Source organism: Homo sapiens, chromosome 22 (assembly GCF_000001405.40).
Source record: "Homo sapiens chromosome 22, GRCh38.p14 Primary Assembly".
In the NCBI taxonomy this organism is placed as follows: Eukaryota; Metazoa; Chordata; class Mammalia; order Primates; family Hominidae; genus Homo; species Homo sapiens.
The window spans coordinates 47,705,173-47,725,682 of record NC_000022.11 but is presented as its reverse complement, the minus strand read 5'-3'; the positions used below and the strand labels follow the sequence as shown (position 1 = coordinate 47,725,682).

Genomic DNA, 20,510 nt, shown 5'->3' with positions numbered 1-20,510 from the left:
TTTTCAACTTTATAAAGTTACTTTATAAACTTATATGGTATGTTAATAGACTTACATTTTTCAAATAAAAACGTCATGTGTAATTTTTAAAGTTATCCTTATTTTATTTTCATAAATTAAATTATTTTTAAATGTGATTTCCAATTGTTTGCTGCTAATAGGAAACAAACTTTATATTGATTTGTTTTATGTGACAATTTTAAATTTACTTATTAATCTGCTCCTTTTTTATTGCTGTTTTATATTGCTTAAGAAATTTCTATGTAAGCAATAATGCATACATATCTGTTGACATGGACAGTTTTACTTTTTACTTTCAAATATTTATTTTTACCACGTATGTTTTTCTTGCATGCTAACCCTAGCTAGAGCTTTCACTATAATGTTATACAGAAGGGATCAAAAGCAGACTCTTTGCCTTGCTCCTGATCTTATGGTAAAAGCACTCAATATTTCACCGTTAGATGATGTGTAAAGAAAGATGAAAAATCTCAAGACCCCAAACTTTAGCACCGAGGCTGCCTCATGCAACCCCCTCTTCCAGATGAAGAGCTGTCACTAGCAACACGCATCTGCCACACCCCCAGGAAAAGGTAAAAGGCTGCAGGCATCTGGAAAAGCTGCCCCTACATATCATTCACCAGTAAGTTCTTTGCCTGCCTCCCATAAACAAGGACATGCTAATTGTGAGTTTAGGTCTACAACCTAAGTCTAGCTCCTCAGACTAAATCTGTTTGATTCCACACTGATAATGCTGATTACAAGCTTATCTTCCCAGATGCAGAGCAAAGACAAGACTCATTTCCTCCACCTACCCAGAGACATATGTATAACTGACTCTCTTTCCTCCTTTTTTCTCTTCAAACATTCATCTTATCTTACGTGAAATGTAGATTTACTGGGCATTTACTAAAGTCTCATAGGAAAAAAAGCCATTCCCCTTAAGACCTACATGCCCCTCTTCCTGGAGGCCTTCCCCCACTACAAGGAAAAGTATTCCTACTAATCCTCCTGAAAACTTCTTCAGAAAAAACAGCCACAGGTGTGTCTGTGGCTAGTATTTTTCCCAGACATGCCCTAAAGCTGCCTTAAAAATCCTTGATGACTGAGACTTATGCCTCAGTCGCTTATCTTGGTTGTCAGATGTTAGCTGCAGGTTTTTCATGTATGTCTTTTATTATTAATATGTTGTCTCATCCTGCTGAACCCACAGCTGAAGACATCCCAACTTAGGGGAGTTCCCACAAAGGCATCTCCAAACTGAGCCCCAGTTGGGGATGAGACCAGTTGGGGTTCCAAAGAAAGAAGCGCAGAATGCCTGGGTGATCAGCCCAAAGCATTGATTAGGGGAACTTACCTGTAGAGGGCTGCAGCAATGGGGAACTTAACTGCGGAGGGCTGCAGCACTCCTAGAGACAGGCAGTGAGAGAAAAGAGGTGTTCTACCTAAGTATGTCCTCAGCGAGGGGGACAAGGCATGGGGTTTTCATGAGGGCTTAAGGAATTTGACTCAGGGCCACGGCCAGTTTCTTTCATCGTTTTGGGCAATAACCTAAATACCTTTATCAGTGCCCAGGAATGTTCAAGGGCCTGGTTTGGGTTCAAGTCTGCTGGGGAAAACCTGCACCTGGCTGGGTCACAGAGTGGTCAATGCACTCCATGACTTTTGGTCAGGACACAGAAAGAAAGAGCGGGGAACCGGGGGGCCCTACAGTGATGAATTATACTAACTGATTTTAGAATGTTAAACAAACATTGCATTTCCAGAATAAACCCCATTTAGTAACGCATAGTGTGCTTGTATTTATCACTGTATTCTATGTGCTAATGTCCTGCTTAGGAGTTTTGTGTTTCTGTTGATGAGAATTATTGGGCTATAATTTTATTTCTTGTAATATTTTTGTTAGGTTTTAGTATCCGAGTTACACTGGTATGAAATGATTTAAAAGTGAATATTTCCTTTTCCTTCATTTTTGAAATAGAGTGTATAGGATTGGTAATACTTCTTAGTTTGATGTTAAATTCATCATTTAAGCTACCTGGGCCTAGAGCTTTTTTGTAAAAAAGGTATTTAATTATCAATTCAATGTATTCATAGCTTTAGGGCTCTTCAGATTTTGTATTTCTTCTTGTTTTGGTAAGTTATTTTTTAAAAGAAATTTATCCATTAAATCTAAGTTGTAAAAATTACCAACATCAAGATTTTAGCAATATCCATTTAACATCTGTGCATCCCTTAGTAATATCCTCTCTTTCATTCTGATATTGTGTATTAGCAGCTTTCCGTTCCCTTACCTCACTCTATGTGTGTGTGTGTGTGTGTGTGCGTGCGTGTGTGCGTGTGTGTGTTCTTTATTATCAGTCTTGCTGAGGTCTTACCAATTTTGTTAGCCTTTTTTATTTTTATTTTTATTTTTTGGCGGAGTCTTGCTTGTTGCCCAGGCTGCAGTGCAGTGGCGCCATCTCTGCTCACTGCAACCTCCGCTCACAGGTTCAAGCGATTCTCCTGCCTCAGCCTCCCAAGTAGCTGGGACCACAGGTGTCCACCACCACGCTCAGCTAATTTTTTGTATTTTTTAGTAGAGATGGGGTTTCACTGTGTCAGCCAGGATGGTCTCGGTCTCCTGACCTCATGATCCGCCCGCCTCAGCCTCCCAAAGTGCTGGGATTATAGACATGAGCCAGCGCACCTGGCTTTGTTAGCCTTTTCAAATAACTTTTTGAACTTTGTTAATTTTTTAATTGCACGTTTTCTCCTTCATTTAATCCTGGTCTAACTTTTATTGTTTTTATTAGCCTCTTTTCCTTGGCATTATTTTTTTCTTCTTTTTCTAGCTTCTTAAGGTAGATCATTAGCTTTAAAACTTTCTTCCCTCTTAATTACACATTAAAATTTATAGATTTCTTTCTAACCATTGTTTCAACTCCAGCTCATAGTTTAGATATGCTTTTATTTTCATTTAGTTCAAAATAGTTTCTAATTTTCACTATGATTTATTTGACTCATGGGTTTTTTTTTTTTTTTTACTTTAATTGCCAACTATTTGGGTATTTTCTTTTTATTAATTTCTAATTTGTTTGCAGTGTCTTTATCAGGCTTTGCTCTCATAATATCAGGTTGGTGCAAACATAATCACGGTTTTTGCCATTGAAAGCAAAATCTGAGAGTAATGGCAAAAACTGCAATTACTTTTGCACCAAGTTATTAAAATGACTTGTAAAGTGCTCCTTCCCTGTATTACATTTTATTGTGACCAAGAAACATATCATTTAAGTTTCATTCCGACAGAATTTACTGAAACACATTTTATGCCACAATGTATGATTGTTTTGTCATGGCGAACTTTTCATATGCACAGGGAAAGAACGTGTATCTGTGATTGTTGAATATGGTGTTTTACAAATGTCAGCTGCATCAGGTTTGTTGATAGATTTGTGCTCATCTTCTGTATCCTTAAAGATTTTGTGTCTACTTCTATCACACCAAAAAATGGGTGTTATCACCACATATGATTTCGAGTCTATTTCTCCATTTACTTCTGCCAATTTTTTTATGTATTTAACTTGTAGACAATATGATCCTATGTGCAGAAACTCCTAAGGAACATCAGAAACCCAATCGAGCAAATCAACAGATTTAGCAACGTCATACAATACAATTTCAGATACAAAAGTCAATTGTATTTCTACATGAGTAACGAGCTAACTAAAAATGAAATTTAAAAACACTAATTCCATTCAAAAGTAGCATCAATGAGAATAAATTACTTAGGAATACATTTAATTAAAAAGTGCTAGACTTGTACACTGAAAATTACAAAGTACTCTGGAGATATATTCAGGATCTATATAAATAAAGACATCCATGTTTATGGATTAAAAGACTCAACATTGTTAAGATGGTGATTCTCCCCTAAATTGATTCATGGATCCAATGTAAGCCCAAACAAAATACCGGCAGGTTTTTATTTATATGATGATGTATTCATCTTAGTACGTGTATTTAAATACAAAAGTCATAGAACAGCGCAAGTTATTATGAAAGAGAAGAACAAAGTTGGAGGACTTACTCTTCCCAGTTTCAAAACTTACTTTAAAGCTACAACAATCAAGGGAATGGGATATTGGCGTGAGGATAGACATACAGATCAATGAGACAGAATTGAGAGTCCTTAACATTTATGATTCATTCAACAAAGGTGCCAAGACAATTAAATGGAAAAAGAAGAGTTTTTCCAATAGATGGTGCTGAAACAATAGAATATCCACAGGAAGGAGGAGGAGGAGGAGGAAGAAGAAGTGGAAAAGGAACAGAGGTGGAGAAGGAAGACTTAGAGCTTTACCTCACACCATATGCAAAAAAAATTCACTCAAAATGTATCATAGACCTTAATGTAATAATTATAACTTTAGAACTTCTAGAAGCAAAAGGAGAAAATCTTTGTGACCTTTGATGAGACCAAGATTTCTTAAATGTGACACCAAAAGCATGATCCATAAAAAAGAATTTGATAAATCAGACTCCTTCAAAGATAAAAATGTTTGCTCTTCAAAAGAAATCATGAAGAAAATGACAAGACAAAGCAAAGACTGGAGAACATACATGCAAATCATATATTTGATAATGGACTTGTATCTAGACTCTATAAAGAATTGTTACAAATTAATAAGAAGGAAAACAACCCAATCTAAAAACATTAAAAAAGGAAACATTCAAATAGACTGTTCACTGGTGCAGATGTGCACACGGTTTAAAGCACATGACAAGATGCTCAACACCATCAGACATTTTAACAACGCAAATAAAAACCCCAAAGAGATACTATTTCACACCTACTAGAATGGCTCCAATCAAAGGGGGAGACAATAACAGGCATTGGTGAGGAGGGAAGAACTAGAACCCTTATTGGTAACTGGTGGGACTATAAAATGGTACAGCCACTTTGGAAACAATTCTGTCAATTTCCTAAACAGTTAAACACAAGCTTGCCATAAACCCAGCAATTCCACACCTCAGCATCCACTCAAGAGAAATGCAAACATATGTCTACATGGGGACGTGTGCTAGAATCCTCACAGTTGCTCTATTTGTAATAGCCACGGCTAGAAGCAACCCAAACGTCCATCAGCCATTGGATGGATAAACAAAATGGCATCTCTCTAAAAAGCAGAACATCTGTCAACAGTAAAAAGTGTCCCCAAGATTACTCTTTGCTGTCAATGTTTCATTTTGGGTAGTCACTATAGCTGTGCCTCAAGATGACAAATATTTCCCCTGCAGTGTCGCTATTCATCCCATCCTGTGTGCTTCTCATCTCACACATCACACTTCTCATCCCTGGATGTTTCTTTCTTTTTTTTTTTTTTTTTTGAGACAGAGTCTTGCACTGTCACCCAGTCTGGAGTGCCATGGTGCCATCTCAGCTCACTGCAACCTCTGACTCCTGGGTTCAAGCAATTCTTCTGCCTCAGCCTCCCAAGTAGCTGGGATTACAGGTGCCTGCCACCCTGCCCAGCTAATTTTGTGTATTTTTAGTAGAGACGGGGTTTCACTATGTTGGCCAGGCTGGTCTCGAACTCCTGACCTCATGATCCGCCGGCCTCAGCCTCCCAAAAGACTGAGATTACTGGCGTGAGCCCCCGCGCCCGGCCTCATCTCTGGAAGTTCCATCTGCATCCTTTTCCTATCTCCTCTGCCTCTGCCTTATCCTTTTGAGCCTAAGGATTTCAGTGTAAAACTGTGTTGATGCCACCATACCTACCATCTGCTGAGGGATATCTCATTAACGTTTCTCGTTAGAATCAACAAATGGACACAGAAAGCAAGACATCAGTTCCTGGCCTGCAAGCAAACCGCACCACATGTCTTTGTAAATCATCTCTAGATTCTCTGGAGCCAAGTGTGTTCTTCCCTAGATCACGCCATGAAAGAATTCCCTCGCGAGTGAGTGTGGAACCCAAAGTGGTCGGACTCACATGGAGATCTGTGGCCCGCACTTGGAGAAGCACTGGTATAAAGCAGCATCTTCACATTCCTGCATTTACTACAGGTCTAGTCACTCAAGACATACACTGCCGAGCACCTACGCTATCCCACAGGCAGGATGAGGTGCTGGGTAGAGGCCAGCAACAGTGAAACAGACAGGGAAGAAGGCACCCGACTTGGACAAGGTCCAGGAAGATGTTTGGAGGAGGGGAGGCTCCGAAACCGAGTCTGGAAGGGGAGTGAGAGTTCGGTTGCCCACGACGGGTGGAGGGGTCCCTGGCAGAGGCTACAGCATGAGCAATCCTAGGGCAAGAGAGCACACCGGCTCCTCCAGGAACTCTCGATCAGAGCTTCTCCCAGTGTGGTCTGTGGACCTATGCCAATCCAGCCTTTGTTGCAGTCCTCGATGAGATGGAAACAAAAATTGAGTGTTTAGAAATGTTTATAGAAAATTGACAGAGTAATTTTATGTCTGTTGAAATTAATGATAAAAAGTGGAGTCTGGGCCGAGCATGGTGGCTCATGCCTATAATCCCAGCACTTTGGGAGGCCAAGGTGGGAGGATCACCTGAGGTCGGGAGTTTGAGACCAGCCTGACCAACATGGCGAAACCCTCTCTCTACTAAAAATACAAAAATTAGTCAGGCATGGAGGTGCGTGCCTGTAATCCCAGCTACTTGGGAGGCTGAGGCAGGAGAATCACTTGAACCCAACAAGCAGAGGTTGCAGTGAGCTGAGATCGTTCCACTGCACTCCAGCTGGGGGATAGAGCGAGACTCTGTCTCCAAAAAAAAAAGTGGAGTCTATATTTTGTATGCTGTTTGCTTTCAGTTTTTGAGTAACTTCTTTTTGCTGTAATTTTCAAAATACCATCTGTGATGGATGGAAAAATACCATTCCATCACCACAGATGATTAGAGATGCACCAAATAGTTCCATCTGGAGGGACACGGGGACAGGGTGGGAGGGAGGAGGCTGGGCAGGGAGAGCAGGGGCAGGAATCAGGCCAGGAGGGGTCACATGGACCTTGTCAGGAAGTCTGAGCTTCCCACCAAAAGCAAAAGGAGCTGCTTCCGGCTGTCCAGCAAGTGGACTCCACCAGGCTTGCCTTTCAGATGGTTTGAGTCCAAGAAGACTCCTGAGGAGAGAGTGTTGAAGTTGGGTTTTGTAGTATAAATAGGAGTTTGCCAGGTGTGCACAATTATATTGGGTAATTATATGAAGGATGGGCTGGAAGGAGGGAAACTAGGGGTACTTGGAGAAGTGATACTAGTCTTAGGAGAAGTCAGTGACATTTTCCAAGAGTCCCTGGAGCTCCTTCCGGGCAGCTTAGTGGGAAGAGCCGCTGCCACTGCCTGGTCATGAGAGCAAGGGCCTGAGCCCAGGTCCCCAGGCTCTGGAATTTCTCTACTGCAGGCACAATGGAACTGCAGCGGGGTGCAGATTTGTAACAAGGCCTCGTGTAGACAGCACACTGTGTCCACACCAGGCAGGAAATGAGGAAGGAGTTCCTTTTCATTTTTTGCATTTGAGGTAAGTTTTTGTGATTTAATTCCTCAAAATCAGTGATTTGGCAGTGGCAGTGGCATCCAAAACAGCCAGGCCATCTGTCAGTCACCTGGCGGAGAAAAATCACAATTGTGAAGGGGGTGTTTGAATGGGAAGCTGCAGCAGGGATTTTGGTGGAGTTGGTCAGGTGGAGGAGGTGATTAAGTGAGTCACTGCAACACTCTGCTAGCTACAATTTAAATTTTAAAATAAACACCTTCTTTGCAGTCGTAGAGATTTCAAGGGAAATAAATAAATATGTAACAAATCTGTCCTGGATTACTATTTGCTTTAACTCTCTGCAAAGTCAAGGCTGGGTGTATGTGGGAGAAAAATAAATGTCAGGTTCAATCTCAGAATGAATCGTCCTTCTTCCAAGCCCCCAACACTTGCCCGAAACTTGCTGATGGCTCCGGGGTTCAGTCCAGAACAGATGCTCTGCAGGCTGTGCCTCCTCTCTAGCCAGGCACTGCACGGGAGGTACATCAAGCCCAGGACCCCAGGACGGCCAGCCTGCTTCTCAGGAAAGGCTTCTGTCCACCCACTCAGAGTGGGGATTGATTACAATCCACAGGGCAACAGGGGAAAGCAAAGCTTTCTCCAGGGATCCAGGGCAGGGAGTTATGAATTCTGCCTCTCTGGGTCCAAGAAGACCCTTGAGCAGGGAGTATTAGAGCTGGGTTTTGTGGTATGAATAGGAGTTTGCCCGGTGTGCACAGCCGGAGAGGAAGTGCCAGCTGAGAGAATAGCATGGACAAAGACACAGAAGTAGGCAAGGGCATGGCGTCCAGAGACACTTGTGTGCAGCTCGGGGTTCTGGAGCACAGAGCGGGAGGCTGGCAGGAGATTCGGATTGAAGAGGTCATCAGAGGGCAGAGTACAAAGTGCCAGGCTAGAGATTCTGTCTTCTAGACATGGGAAGCCTTGGGCTACTGTAAGTAAAAGTGCAGTGATAAACAGCTTGGATGTGTGTGCCTGTAGGGGGGGGTGGGGGTGGGGCAGATAAGGCAAAATGGGAGGCCAGGGTGTTTATCTGATGGTGATTTCCATCACTGAGAGGAGTGAGAGGCGTTTGTGCACCACGGGCTTCTCACGCAGGCAGGAGCAGCGTCCTTCCTGCTGGTCTCTGCCCCTGGACCCACACAAAGCCGCAATGACTCAGGGAGGAGGTGGACAAAGCCTTTTGGGACTGAAAGACTCTGGCCTGGGAAAGCCCGCGCCTTTCCGAGTGACGCAGACCCTGGAGGCTCCATTTCCGAGATGCCGGACGGCTTCGCCTTCCTCCTTCTGCACACGGGCACGCCCAGGCCACAGGAGGAAAGGACCCTGGAAGACCCCCCTCTGCTGGAGTGTGGAGGAGGACCGGACAGAGGGCAAGAGGCGCAGCTCCAGTGGCTTCTCGGGAAGCCATTCCCCACTGTTTCGCACCGGCCTGGAGCCTGCCCCTCAGAATGGCTTTGGATTTCTCCCCGCTGAACCTGACTGGGCTGGGCGCCCATCACCCATAAACCCTGAACCCAAACCACCAGGGCCTGCACCTGGGGCCTGCAGAGGAAGGGCCTTGATGCCGGCTGTCATCGTGGCTGCACCTGCCCAGAAGCCTCCAAGCACGTCTACTCCAGTCGGGGCCACTTTCGGACCTTGTGGTCCAGCCTGGCTGGGAGTCCTGATAGTTAGTGAGTCTGAGGCCAAGAATCCACCTTTCTTCTCCCACCTACCTCGCTGCCCCCACACACCACACTCACCTCCACACACCCCCAATCACAAGTCCCCTCCTGGCCCCTGGTGGCAGGGCCCGTTCCACCAGCACACCTGCCTTCAGTCCCACCCCTGTGCCCACTCCTCCAGTTCCCGCCGGCCACACCCATGCTGGGAAGACCAACAGAACCCATTCCTAGCCTCCACGTCAACACCTCTGGTGGCTTCTCCACCCTCGCTTCTCTTCCCATCCCGTTACTCACAAAGGAGACCCCCTACCCACCGCACACTGGTCGGAGGCCTTGTCCCAAGGTGCAAACCTGGGTGGGTGACTGGACCTGTGACCTCATGCTTGCTGGCCTGGTGGAGACCCAGCTTTTGCCTGTGATTGTACTTGGCTCCCACGTGTCCCACGGGCCTCACCCCTGCATCCTCTTCCCACTGCAGGGGACTCCCAGCTCCCCAAGGCCTGGACACTAAACCCCCTGCTGCTTCTCCTTGTCTCACCGCCAAACAGCCCTTGGCTCCTCAGACCTGACTCCACCCTCCACCGCATAAGCACCAGGGGCTCCTCCTAGGGAACGCCGGTTCCCGCCAGAAGCCCCAGCCTGGCTCAGAGAACGTTCCCTGCGCTTCAGTTGAGCTATACTGATACAAATGATATTGGGAGATATACCTAAGGCTAGATGACGAGTTAGTGGGTGCAGCGCACCAGCATGGCACATGTATACATATGTAACTAACCTGCACAATGTGCACATGTACCCTAAAACTTAAAGTATACTTAAAAAAAAAAAAGAAAAAAAAAACAAATGATAGAGACACTGAAGCTGAATGATGACTAGCGAAAATTTTTTTAACATCTTCACACATTTTTGTTTCTTCCTGAAATTAAATTAAAATTAAGCTTCTTTGGGAGGCCAAGCTAACGTTTGTGCAATGCTATAAGAAAAATTGCTGTCCTTTGATTCCATCCTGTTAGTTCAGTTTACAAAGCTATTATGCCCTTTACAGATGAGGAAACCAAGGCTCAAAGAAAGATTAAAACTATTCAGAATTCAGCTTCCAGAAACTTCCATGCCACCATCCAACTTAAAGGAATTTCAACAGTACAACTTGGTAACTCAGAATACTGCATTTTACACATAAGACCTAGTCAGTAAGATATTCACTCCTCCAGGAAATAAAGTACCTGACATTTTATGGGAACAGTTTCTCTAGTTCAGCAGCATTTCCTAATTACTCCAGATTTTCCAAACGATTGATGTTGGTGGACATCGGAGCACATGATTATTAATTAGGTTCTCAGTCCGCTAAATTATGTGGTGTCCAGGCCTCAGGAGGAACAAAAGCCAATCAGGGGACCACTCCAAGGGGCAATTGTTGTGGTGAGGACAATGGCATTGCCTAAGGGACAATTGTTTCTGGTCAGGATGATGACATTGCCTAAGAGACAATTGTTGCTGATTAGGACAGTGACACTGCCTAGGCAAACCTCACATTCTTAGACTCAGGATTAGAACCAAGGAAAGCATGTCCCCTCAATGAGAATGTGATGCCAGTCCCACGGCAGCAGTCACAGAAATCCTTATAGGATGGGGACAGAGTCCAGGCCTCTGGACACCAGCAGGATTTGAAACACCACCTGGAGTTGAAGGACAAATGGTGTCTCTCTAGACAGTCCATGCCCCTGATGTAAGGGACACCCCTTCCCACCCATGCAGTGTGCCCCAGCCCCCTGTGCTAATGTCCCCACGTTTCATTCACCTCTGGCCTGCTTACTTCTACGATTGTTCCAGGAACACTAACTACTGCTCCACCTTAGAGGTAGCAAATTCCACCTCCCCAAGACGACACAGCCCAGGCCGGGAGCTGTGCACGCCACTGGGAAAATCAGCTCCAGCTATGAAAGGAACATGGAAGGTTCTGATTTCCAACACATGGCAAAGTGGCCCAGGACTGCCGACAACCTTCCCTGAGCCAAGCCCTGTAAGCACCATAGCAGCCAGAGAGAGGTGGGGGCTATGCTGGGTGACCGCACACAGGCCCTGAGGGGCCCTGAGGTGGCAAAAGGTGTCTGCTTCCTAGGGTGGAAAATACAACTGCCCACAGTGGAGAAAAGTGAGGGTTTTCAGCGGGGTAAGCGAGCAGAGAGGGGAGCACCCTTTCTTCCTCTTTCTTCCTATGTTGTGCTGAGTCAGCCAATGCCAGACAAAGGCCTACGAGAGAGAAATGCAGCTGCTATCATCTCAGCAGAGGCTGGGTCCCGGTGACATGGGGGCTGCTTTCAGCCAGATGTGCACGGGAGCACGCTGAAGAGCTGAATGCATTCCCCGTCCCAGTTCCCACACTCCCAGCCTCTCCTACCTTCCACTCACTCTGCGCTGGAAAGTAGCTGGGCCTGCCGGGCTCAGCTGTGCCCCTCCTCCCTGGGACAGGGCTGGCCCCTGGAGGCCGCAAGGGAGAAGGTCCACCCCCTTCTCATGGGTTCAGCTTGCAGGTCTCTTTAGAGCTCTGGCCTCTAAATAAGCCTCTAACATGAAGGCAAAGTTTTGGTCTCCATCTTTACCCTTTCTCACATGTCTAGGCCTGGGGGCCACGGGCAGGGAAAAGAAGAGTGCTATTCATTGCAGGCCCCATGGAGACCCCAGGAGTGAACCCCAGATCTGATGGACCTGCCAACCCCAGGGTCCTTCTCCTCTGCCCCACCACCCCCAGATCTGGAAGATGAGATGATTAACACTAAGAGTAAGATGAAAAACTTTTTTAAAAAGCAGTGCAGGCTGGACGCAGTGGCTCATGCCTATGATCCCAGCACTTTGGGAGGCCGAGGCAGGTGGATCACCTGAGGTCGGGAGTTTGAGACCAGCCTGACCAACATGGAGAAACCCCGTCTCTAGTAAAAATACAAAATTAGCCAGGCGTGGTGGCATGTGCCTGTAGTCCCAGCTACTCAGGAGGCTGAGGCAGAAGAATTACTTGAACCCGAGAGGTGGAGGTTGCGGTGAGCTGAGATGGCGCCATTGCACTCCCACCTGGGCAACAAGAGCTAAATGCTGTGTAAAAAAAAAAAAAGCAGTGCAAGGGAGAGTTACATAGACTAGCACTGGAGACTCCTTCCTGAGGCATCTCTCCTCCATGCACAACCCAGAAGGAAAGCCAAAAGCCAGGCCAAGCAGCCATCACATCCCCAGGGAAGCATCCCTGGCCACAATGCTTAATGTCCTCAGGGATTCTTAGCTCACTCACAATGCAAAATCATGGCATTTAGGGGCTATCATCATGTTTTAAACAAAACTATATCAAAGTAGAAATGAAAGATGTTATAAAAGAGAAAAGAAAAGACGAAGACATGGAGCTGAAGTAAGTTATAAAGAAGACTACACTGGAGATGATACATTTGAAAGACATACTAGTTGGTATTTAAAACCGAGTGGATGAGTTGAGTAACAGAATGGATACAACTGAGGACATATCAGTATGTGAAAGAGCAAGACCGGGCTAGCGGGCTAGCGCCAGGAAGCATGAAGGGGAAATGGAGAGACAGAAAATGCAAGGAGGGACGCTGGAGGAGGGAAGTGCCAAGTGCATGCAACAGAATTGCCAGAAGGGCAGAGAAATGAACAGAGATTAGAGGATGCCTTAAAAATTGATGACCAACAATTAGCAAGAAATAAAGGAAATGCAAGACCTTGAATTTAAAAGACTCAAAGGGTCCAAAAAAAGAAAGAAAAAAGCAAAACTAGATAAAGGTAAAAGAAATTTTTAAAACATGAGAAATAAGGAAAAAATCTAAAAGTTATCAGGAAAAAAACAGCAATAAATATAAATAAGAATCGAGTTGGTATCACAATTGTCAACAATGGAAGCCAAGCAATAGCATAACAATAATTTTTAAATATTAAGAAAAGAATTGTGCCCAGATTGTTATATCAAGCTAACATATTATTTAATACTAGGGTAAGATAAGATTTTCTCAGACATAAAAAAAGTGGATGAATTTGACTGCACTGAAATTAGGAGCTTTTGGTCATCAAAAGACATTAGGCAAGAGTGAGAAACAAGACACGGAGCAGGAGAAGGTATTTCCTGCACTTATAATCAAAAAACAGAGCTCATCTCCAAAGCATATATATATGGGTTTTTGTTTTTGTTGTTGTTTTGAGGCAGGGCCTTGCTCTGTCTGCCAAGCTAGAGTGCAGTGGCATGATCACAGCTCACTGCAGCCTCAACCTCCCAGGTTCAAGCAGTCCTCCTACCTCAGCCTCCTGAGTAGCTGGGACTACAGGTGCACACCATCACACCCGGCTAATTTTGTTTATTTTTAGTAGAGACGGGGTGTCACTACATTGCCCAGGCTGGTCTTGAACTCCTGGACTCAAGTGAGCCTCCCTCCTTGGCCTCCCAAAGTACTGGGATTACAGGCATGAGCCACTGCACCAAGACAAGCATTTTTTTGTTTTGTTTTGTTTTGTTTTGTTTTTGAGACGGAGTCTCGCTCTGTCGCCCAGGCTGGAGTGCAGTGGCGCTATCTCGGCTCACTGCAAGTTCTGCCTCCCGGGTTCACGCTCCTGCCTCAGCCTCCCGAGTAGCTGGGATTACAAGCACCCACCACCACGCCCGGCTAATTTTTTGTATTTTTAGTAGAGATGGGGTTTCACTGTGTTAGCCAGGACAGTCTTTCAATCTCCTGACCTCATGATCCGCCCACCTTGACCTCCCAAAGTGCCGGGATTACAGGTGTGAGCCACTGCGCCCGGCTGCTTTTTTTTTTTTTGAGATGGAGTCTTGCTCTGTCGCCCAGGCTGGAGTGCAGTGGCGTGATCTCAGCTCACTGCAAGCTCCGCCTCCCAGGTTCACACCATTCTCCTGCCTCAGCCTCCCGAGTAGCTGGGACCACAGGTGCCCACCACCACGCCCGGCTAGTTTTTTTTTTTTTTTGTATATTTAGTAGAGACGGGGTTTCACCGTGTTAGCCAGGATGGTCTCGATCTCCTGACCTCGTGATCCACCCACCTTCGCCTCCCAAAGTGCTGGGATTATAGGCGTGAGCCACCGCGCCCGGCCGCATTTTTTTTTTTAACTCACACAAATCAATAAAAAGACAAGCAACCCCAAAAGGTAGACAAAAATATAGGAACAGATACTTAGAAAGAGAGGATAAAAATGACTAACAAACTAATCAGGGGAAGGCAAAATAAAGTCATGGCAACACGTGCCCACTAGACTGAAAAGCAAATGAATGTATTTATAACTTATTAGCCCTTTAGTAAACAACTGGAAATATGAATATCAGTGTGGTCGCGGAACAATAACAGCTCACAAACCCTGGAGATCTCATTGGAATGTCAACTTTGGACATATTTGATATTATCTAGTCAAGTTGCAGGTAATAGCTCCTACCCAGCAATTCATGACTAAGTACAAACTCTAGGCAAACTCACTGGCACACCCACTAGGACACACGTGTGAAACCCTTCCTAGCAACCTGGCCTGTAATTGCCCCAAACTAGAAACCAACTCCAGTGTCCATCGACTGAACAGTGGAAAATTAAATGGTTGTATAGCCATACAACAAACTCCCAGACTGTGCAAAAATGAGTAAAGTACAGGTGCATCCAAAAATATGGATGAAACCCCAAAACATCAAAACATAATGTTGAGTGAAACAAGACAGATACAATTCCACTCATGTGAGACTCACCTATGATTTCATTGCATGAAACAGCACAGGCAGAACTGAATGTCCAAAGCTAAAACCATAAAGAAACGCAAGAAAATGAGTCTAAGGTGACAATAGTTGTTACCTAGAGGCAAGTGAGACAGAAATGACTGCAGACAGCTGGGGGCACACAGGGAACCCCAGGCTGCTGGTAATATTCCATTTCATGACCTGGTGTTGAGGTCATGAGCACTTACAGGGGAGTCTCCTTTTCCTTACTTATCAACGTGTGCCATGTTTATGCCATTTACCATATGTCTGTATTACAATTCAGAGAAGGAAAAAAGTAACATTCAAAGAAGGAAGGAAGGAAAAAGGGAAAGAGAGAGGGAGGGAGGGAGGCAGGCAGGCAGGCTGTAAAAGGAATCTGCATCACACAGCACTGGGGAGAAGACAGGGGGCTCTTCCGTGAGGTGTGGCGAAGTTGAGTCCTCATGATGGCTGCAGACCTGGGTCTCTGCAAACTAATTCTCGGCACACAAAGAGCAGAATCTCTAGTCCAAGAGTTAAATTCAGAAAACCAATTTATTGATTCATAATGAGAAGTAAAAATGGATATGAAAACTTACATAAATTAATACATGAAATAATTAAAAGGAAAGTATGTGTGTAGTTTCCAAAGGTTGTTTCAATAAGAATTTTTTTCAAATACAAGGTAAGACTTTTTAGTATTGGGCTAAATGGGTTTTAAGATGAAAAACATTATGATGCCAAAAAGCGATGTTATATACTGCCAAAACAGTGTGCTAGATCAAGAAGATAGTAGTTATGAATAAATAAGCCCTTTAAAATAGCTCATCACAATATATAAAATAACAACTGACAGCATTACAAGAGAACATAGAGACAACAAAATTTATTGCCCAAGATTTTCACAAAGCCCTATTAGAGACTGGTAGATTAGAGGGACAAAAAAAAAAATCAAAACAAAAAAGCATAAATGCATACAAAATTTGATTGACAAGATTAATAAAAATCCCAGAGCAAAATATATGTGTGTGTGGAGCGAAGCTTTCACAACCACGGATGATGGACGAGGTTGGAAGCTACAATGAGCCCAAACAATCCACCCAGCTTAGTATGTTCCCTGAGCACAAAGCAGTGAAATTAGAAACCAGTAACAAAAATGATTAAAAATAAATAATATACCATATGTTCAAAAACTAAAATGTCATTCTGCTAAAAGGACTTTAAGATACAAAGTAAAACATAAGAGAATTACAAAATAATGGAGCCACACTGTAGTGATAGCTCCATATGTTTAAATGTATTTATCAGAAAGTAAGAAAAAATGAGCTAAGTATTCAATCCAAGCAGAAAACAAACAAGAAACAGAAGCAACCCAAAAGGGACAAACAAGAAGAAAATAAAATAGATAAGAACATAAATCAATGAAATAGGGAAGATTAACAAAACCAAAAGCAATTTCTTTAAAATATTAATACAATATACAAAAAGCTCTGGCAAATCTAGTCAATACAATAAGGGGAAGATGCAAATTTACAAAACAGAATCCAAAAGAGGAAATAACTGCAAAAACAATGTAAAATCTTTTTTATAAAGACATCAATTTGAAAACACAAGGCAACATGGACACACTGTTGGAAAAGTATGATATTCCAAATTGGAGCAAGGATAAATAGATTTTCATTTAAAATTCATAATGGTAATTAAAGCCTCCCCCAAGAGGGAAAAAAAAAGGCAATAAAAAATCAGGCCAAGAACATTCCACAAAAAAGTTACATCAAACTTTTAAACAAGAAAGAATCTATGTCTTACACAAATCACAAGTTGTTCCAAACAATGAGAGAGAAAGAGAGAGAGACAGACAGAGACAGAGACCTTCTGTTAATTATAAAATTGTTTGCTTGATTCCAAAGCTGGTTTAAAAAAAAAAAAAAAAAAAAAAACTTCAAAATGCAAAGTATAGGCTCTTTTCACTTATGAAGTCTTACTTACATATTTGCTAATTGACTTTAATGTTGTCTGAAAATAATAATAATATCATTATAAATAGAGTTCATCAAAGGAATGAAAAAAAGTTTTAACATCAGAAAGCCTATGAATTTAATTCACCACTTTAAGATACTAAGATGAAGAAAGAAAAAATATTGACTAGGTCAGTAGAAGCAAAAAAAAATGCACTTGTAAATATCCAACTTGTTTTTAAATAAAATTATTTACATTATTATTATTACATACAGTATTCCCAGAATACTGTAACTAAAGGAGAATGTTCTTTATCTGATAAATAACTATGCTTGTCTTTGACGAATACCATATTCAGAGGATGGACTTGAGGCATGGCTCCTTTAAGACTGGAAACAAGAAAAACGCAATCTTATTGCTACTGGTAAAGCTGTCCAATGGACTCATCAAGAGAAAGATCAACAAGAGGTAGAAGAATATATTAAGACAAGTCAAGGCTATCCTTATTTGCAGATGGCATGATCACCTAAATAGAAAATGCATCAGAATCAATGCACGCAATATTGGAATTAAGAGTTCTACAAAAATTAAGAGGTGTGATTTCAACCATACCATGATGTTTCCTCACACTGGTAATTTCTAACTAAAACATATAATAATAAAACAATATAACATTTACAATAACAAGAAAAACTTAAATATATCTAAGAATAAATCTAACAAAGAATTCATGATTCTTTATAGAGAAAGTTTTAAAATTCATTAAAGGATATAAAGAAAGATTAGAATAAAGAGAAAATATACCATATCCCATAATGGACTAGTTTAACATTTGAAGAAATGGCAGTTCTCCACAAAAGCCATACTTAAATGAGATTCTGATTAAAAAAAAAAAATTTTAGGAGCGATTTTTGAAGACTTCAACAATCTTATTCTGACATTTACATGAAAAAATAAAATTCTTTAAAAAATAAACAATTTCAGAAAAAGAGAATAAAAGGGACCTGACCTACAAGATATGAAAAAATTCCACAAAATACTACTTAAAAAAAAGTGCAGTTTTGGTACAGAAATATTAAATTCATAAGTGGAACAAAACAGAAAGCTCAACACCAAACCCATGTGTGTTTAAGGATCTGTTTTATGACAGAAGTGACACACATCAGTGAGACAGGAATAGACTTTTTTAATACATGGCTTTGGGTACCACTGGCTTGCCTGATGGGTAAAACTAAAATTGGAACTCTTCCTTACATCCTAAGTAAAATGATCTCTAGATTGATTAAAAACTCAAATGAAAAGGCATAAAAATAAAGCTAATAGGAGACTATTGGAGAAAACTTTTTATCTTGAACTGAATATGCACTTTATGTCATACCTCAAATGTACAAAATCTAAGGTGAAAAAAACTGGATTTTACCACAGTGATATGGAAGGGGGACAGGGACGTGCTGGGTAGAGGAAGGTGTGGTCCCTGGCTAGGGCTTCATCCCAGGGCCTGTGCCCATGGGCCTAGGTGAGGACAGGCATTTCTGTTTTCCCGCCCAAATGTTGCATTTCCCAAGACCACCCTGGCCCACCACACCCCCATCCTATGCCTATAAAAACCCCGAGGCCCCATCGGACACACATGCACATGCGGCTGGATGTCAAGAGGAACGCATCAGTGGAAGACGACACAGCAGCTGGATGTGGAGAGGGCCCCAGCAGAACAGCACACTGACAGACACAGGCAGGCTGGCAGGCCATTGACCTGCAGAACGACACAGAGTTCAACCAGGGAGGTCAGAGGACAGCCTGGGCCACTGAGCTGCCCGACTCCAAGGGAAAACCACCTTCCCACTCCATCTCCCTTCTGGCTCCCCATCCATCTGCTGAGAACTTCCACTCAATAAAACCTTGCACTTAGGCCAGGCACGGTGGCTCACGCCTGTAATCCCAGCACTTTGGGAGGCTGAGACAGGTGGATAATGAGGTCAGGAGTTCAAGACCAGCCTGGCCAGCAAGGTGAAACCCTGTCTCTACTAAAAATACAAAAATTAGCTGGGCACAGTGGCGGGCACCTGTAGTCCCAGCTACTCAGGAAGCTGAGGCAGGAGAAATGCTTGAACCCGGGCGACAGAGGTTGCAGTGAGCCGAGATTGTGCCATTGGACTCCAGCCTGGGCAACAGAGCGAGACTCCATCTCAAAATAATAATAATAATAATAAAATAACAAAAAAACAAACTTACACTTATTCTCCAAGCCCACAACTGATCCGATTCTTCCAGTACACCAAGGCAAGAAACCCCGGGATACAGAAATCCCTGTGTCCTTGTGATAAGGAAGGGTGTCTAATTGAGCTAACACAAGCCACCTACGGATGGCTGAACTAAAAGAGCATCCTGTAACACACGCCCACTGTGGCTTCAGCAGCTGTAAACATTCACCCCTAGACGCTGCCGTGGGGTCGGAGCCACACAACCGGCCCATCTGCATGCTCCCCTAAAGGTCTCAGCAGCGGGGCGCTGAGGAAGTGAGCCACTCCCGCATCACACACCCTGTGACAGGGATAAGGGAACTTTTGCCCTTTCAATAGCAACATTAAAAATTTGGGTTTGAGATAAAAAGGCATCATTAAAGTAAACAAGTGACAGATTGGGGGGAGAATGACTACATCTTTTAAAATCAACAAGATATTGGCATCTAGAACATGCAAGGAAATAGTGAAATCCAACAAAATAAAAACAATGGACTATCAAATTGGCTAAGGTATATGAATAAGAGCTTCACAGAAAGGGAAACTTGAATGGCTGCTAAGTAATGAAGAGACGCACAACTTCCTTGGCAAACACAGAAATGCAGGTTAAATCAATGTTAAGATTACATTTTGCACCCATTCATCTAACTGACAAAACTTTCAAGGAGTATAAAAATGCTGGTGAGGATGTGGCAGAATGAACCCCTCACGCACTGCTGATGGGAATATGGCCTGCCACACAGAGCAAACTGTCTGTGCCAAGCAGAATTAACGGGTGTCTCCTAGGATCCAGCAATCCCACTCCTAAGTGAAAACCCAGGGAAATCCATAAAGACCCCAGTGTGTGGATGTTGCAGTAAGGTGTGTGTTGGGGGGAGCCAGAGGCAATCCAGGGGTCCATGACAAGAGGAACAGGGTAGGTTAAGGTATGGTAGATGCACGCTGTGAAGCAAAGGTCAGAAGAGGGTCATACAGAAATGTCAGTGTGTTTTCACAACAGTGGTGAGTGAAAAAAATTAGGAAACAAATGAGATCTATATATTGCACAATAACATGTATGGAAATGTAAAATGAACACATAACCCTTGACAAATTAGATTTTTCAAAGCTACACAAATATTTAGGTACAGATAAAAAGACATTAGAAAGAGTGACTCTGTCGGAGGGGTGGAGAGGGGATGGGAGATGGGATCCAGCATGAAGGAGAAATGGAATTAAACAACCAGAGGTCTTGTAGGGCATGATGGCGAGAATGGATTATCAGTGAGGAGTAGGATTAACAACTCTCTATGAACCTATGAACCAAAAGTACAGCTACGATTACTACTAAAACTAATACTAATGAGAATAGTGTGTAAGAAAAGCGTGGACTTTGTTCAAAACTTTAA

At 43.2% G+C, this 20,510-nt stretch overlaps 1 long non-coding RNA gene across 1 annotated transcript in view; it reads right to left on the bottom strand.

Annotated features, from left to right (window-relative positions):
• Positions 1 to 20,510, bottom strand: part of EPIC1 (epigenetically induced MYC interacting lncRNA 1) — a 223,927-nt gene that overhangs the window by 129,918 nt on the left and 73,499 nt on the right. The gene's annotated exons all lie outside the window — the stretch shown is intronic.